This window comes from Homo sapiens, chromosome 22, assembly GCF_000001405.40.
Source record: "Homo sapiens chromosome 22, GRCh38.p14 Primary Assembly".
NCBI lineage: Eukaryota > Metazoa > Chordata > Mammalia > Primates > Hominidae > Homo > Homo sapiens.
This window is the reverse complement of record NC_000022.11, coordinates 16,127,969-16,132,468: the sequence shown is the minus strand read 5'-3', so window position 1 is coordinate 16,132,468 and position 4,500 is coordinate 16,127,969.

Sequence of the window (4,500 nt, the reverse complement as noted above, 5' to 3'; positions counted from 1 at the left end):
GGCTGCAGCCACCTGCTAGAGAGCGCCCGCACCTCCCGCTACTCGCCCTTCCCCAGTCCCCGCCGCTCGCCCTCGCCCTTCTTCAGTCCCCGCACCCGCCCTGACACCAGTAGAAATCTCAGTCGGGCCAAGCTTTTGGACACTCCAGCCTCTCCTGGGAGAAAAGGGCTGCGCAAAACCATTAGGCAGCTGAGCAGAACCGTTAGGCAGCTGAGCAGAACCTTTAGGCAGCTGAGCAGAACCCTTAGGAAACAGCACATGCGCAACTCAGCAGACTGGGGAGACACGCCAGGCGGGAAACTGCCCTGGCTGCGCTTCGCCCAGCACCACCTGCAGGTGGCACCTGCCACTGAGGCGCTGTCGGGCTGGCGGGGCTCCCTGGAGCGGAAAGTGGGGGACCCCCTGCCACACGGCCTGCTTGACAGAGCCGCCCCTGGCCCCTCTTCAACCTGAGATCCAGGAGCTGGGCCCTGGAGCTGGGCATCCTGCAGCCTCTGGGGTGGCGCTGAGCATCGGTTCCCGCCCTCCTGCAGCCAAGGACCCAACCCCTGACTTAGGCGCCCTGGAGGCTTCTGGCCCAAGTATCCACGCTGCTGGTGGCGCTGGCAGGGTCGGGGTTGCAGCCTCTGCTGCCACGTGCCATGTTCAGGTGGCAGCTGCAGCTGAGCCCATGGTAGAGGCTACAGGGCTGGGCCCAGACCACTGAGCATTGCCGAGTACATCGCCCTTCCACCCGGGGCTCTGCTCTTCCTCGGCTCGCGCTGGCAGCGCAGGCTCGCCACCACTGGGCCCTGTACAGCTGCAGCGATGAGGCTTTGCGGCAGGTTCCCACCCTCCTGCAACTGAGGTCCCACTGCCTGACTTAGGCGCAGTGGCCGTGTCCGACCCTGGGGTTCGCCTGCTGGTGGCGTGGGCAGGTTCTGGTGTTGCCACCGCTGCTGCCACCTTCAAATGCCAGCTGCAGCTGATCCCATGGTAGAAGCTGCAGGGCTGGGCCCGACGGCCTGAAGGTCGCCGTGTGGCACACGCCCCCCCACTCTAGGCCCTGCTCTTCCTTGGCTCGCACCCTGAGCGCTGGTTTGCAGACTCTGGGGACTGTGCAGTCGCCAGTATGGGGCTGAGTGGCAGGTTCAGAGCTGCCTGGGCCCAGAGGGGAAGAGGAGAGTTTGGGGTTGCTTCGCCATATTTGCCTGTGTGCCAAGTGCAGGTAGTGGCTACTGTTCTGACAGGCACGGATGGCGGATCCAATTTAGAGGGCTTCAAGGTTGCTGAGAGCGCCAGCTGCCAGGCCTCAGGATCCCTTCCTCGTTGACCAGCATCTGGAGTATGGCGGTGGCGCTGGGTAATCTGCAGCCATCCTGGATGGGGCTGAGCTGCAGTTCTCCCCCTTGGACTGAGAGGTAAACTTGGCTGAGTAGAGCAGATGGAGAAACAGTTAAATTGAACTTATCTATAAAGACTTCCAGGCTGGGTGCAGGACCTCATGCCTGTACTTACAGCACTTTGGGAGACCGAGATAGGAGGATCATTTGATCCCAGGAGTTTGAGACCAGCTTAGACAACACAGGGAAACTTCATCTCTATAAAAATAAAACCAATCAGCCAGGCATGGTGGTGCATGCCTGTGGCCCCAGCTACTTGGGAGATTGATTGTGGGAGGATCACTTGGACCCGGGAGATCGTGGGTACAGTAAATTGATTGTGCCACAAACAAGGAATGAGAGGTCCTGTTGCTCCACATCCTTGACAGCATTTGACTTTTTCAGTCTTCTGGATTTTGGTTATTGTTTGATTGTTTGTGCCGCTACACTCCAAGCCTGGGCAACAGAGACTCTCTCTCTCAAAATAAATAAATAAAAGACTTCTAGTCACTATATCATATCTATGTGGAATTCTTTACACATCAAGCTTGAAGAGTTAAAACCCACAGCGCCCTCTGGTTATGTGATAGGGACCATGTGATTAAAGTGGGTGACCATGTTCTTGCCTCCAGGGGGCCCAAGTCAAGGGATGGGTCCCCAGCTGCAGGAGAGTGGAAATGGATGCTCAGCACCACCCCAGAGGCTACACAATGCCCAGCCCCAGGCCCCAACTGCTGGATCCCGGGTCATGAACAAAAACCCAAGAATTGAAGACTTGAGTGTTAGATATGCTCATTTCTTCTGGGATATCATTGGTTCTGGACCGTCTTAGCTTACAAAGCAAAGAAATAAATGTGCATATACAAAGCTGTGTATAGACATAACTATAAATATTTCTAAATGTAATGTGTGTAAGTGTTAGTTCATACTGATGTCTAAGACTCAATTCTTTTATCACATGATCATTCTGGTCTTCTCCCCTTGCTTACATGTAAGCTCCCACTTTAATAGTGAGAAAGCAGGCTCCTGTCATTTGTCATCATTTGCTTAACTGTCTAGTTCCAATATACATTTATTCTCTATCAATATCAGAATCGCTATCCCATTTCCTTTAGGAAACAGCTATACCAACCAGATCACATGAGTTGTTTGCAGTTTCTCTTCCTTTCAGTCTTCATGCATTTTCTTTGTTTCTTTTCTCTTTTTTTTTTTTTTTTTTTTTTTGAGATGGAGTTTTGCTCTTCTTGCCCAGGCTGAGGCAGGAGTGCAGTGGCGTGATCTCGGCTCACTGCAACTTCTACCTCCCAGGTTCAAGCGATTCTCCTGCCTCAGCCTCCTGCGTAGCTGGGATTACAGGCACCTGCCATCATGTCCAGATAATTTTTGTCTTTTTAGTAGAGACGGGGTTTCACCATTTTGGCCAGGCTGATCTCAAACTCCCAGCCTCAGGTGATCCGCCACCTTGGCCTCCTAAAGTGCTGAGATTACAGGTGTGAGCCACCACGGAAGGCCCATCCATTTTCTAAGATGTTTATGTCAGCACGTTTTTCCCACTCCCTAGAGTGAAGTGGCTTTATACATTTGTAGTACTTTAGATTTTTTATCACATTCTGCATTCCATCCCAGGATCCCCAGAACACCTACTTTGTTGTTGTTGTTGCTGTTGTTTTAAAATTTGCATACATATAAGTGACACTCTTTGTGCTGTGAGATTCTTTGTTTTTTAAAAGATGCAGGCCGGGTGCAGTGGCTTACACCTGTAATCCCAGCACTTTGGGAGGCCAAGGCGGGCAGATCACGAGGTCAGGAGACAGAGACCATCCTGGCTACACGGTGAAACCCCGTCTCTACTAAAAATACAAAAACAAAATTAGCCGGGCGTGGTGGCAGGCACCTGTAGTCCCAGCTACTCGGGAGGCTGAGGTGGGAGAATGGCGTGAACCTGGGTTGCGGAGCTTGCAGTGAGCCGAGATCGTGCCAGTGCACTCCAGCCTGGGCGACAGAGCAGACTCCATCTCAAAAAACAAAACAAAACAAAACAAAAAAAAAAACAAACGCAAATGCATACTCTCATGTTTCCACAGTTGTGGTATCATACAGAATACTTTGACTGGTCCAAATAACGCCCACGGGCTTCACTTATTAAACCTCCTCAATGAATCTTTTGCCAGATCATTTACTTTTTTAGGAAGTAATATTCCCTTATATGACGTATCACAGTGGTTTTTTTTTTTTTTTCCAGTCATCAATTATGAGACCTCTTGGTTTCTTCCAGTTTCAGGAATTATAAACAAACTGCTATATATATATTCATGTGCCAGTTTGGGTGTGGACATAGTTTTCAAATAAAGTGGATAAACACCTAAAAACACATTTGCAGCCAGACGTGGTGGCTCACGCCTGTAATCCTAGCACTTTGGGAGGCTGAGGCGGTTGCATTGCCTGAGCTCAGGAGTTGGACACCAGCCTGGGCCACATGGTAAAATTTCCCAAATCAACAAGTTATACTGTCTCTAGTAAAAGACAAAAAAAAAAAATTAGCCGGGCATGGTGGTAGGTGCCTGTAGTCCCAGCTACTCTGGAGGCGGAGGCAGGAGAATTGTTTGAACCCAGGAGGTGGAGGTTGCAGTATCCTTCTATTGCACCACTGCACTCCAGCCTGGGTGACAGAGCAAGATTCTATCTCAAAACAAACAAAAAAAACACAATTGCTATATTATATGTAAGACCTTTTTTTTTTTTTTTTACATATAGTATAGCAACTATGGGCATAAGAAATTGCCCATCTGTCTTCCAAAGTGGTGGTTTCATTTTGCAAGTGGTGAAAGAAAAAAAACAAAAAAAATTCTTCTTGCTCCTGGTTTTTGGGAAAAAGCATCCCACTTCTCATCATTAAGTATGATAGTTTTAGGGGTTTTGTAGATGTTCTTTGTCAAGTTAAGAAAATTCACCTCAATTCCTAGTTTTCTGAGAGTTTCTCAAATTATAGATGGGTGATAGATTTTGCCATAAGCTTTTTCTACATCAGTTGATACAGTCACATGATTTTTCTTCCTGCAGATTTAGGAAATTCTGCAGATAATTTTCTAATATTGAATCAGTCTTGCATACAGTCTTACCTAGAATAAATACATAGTTA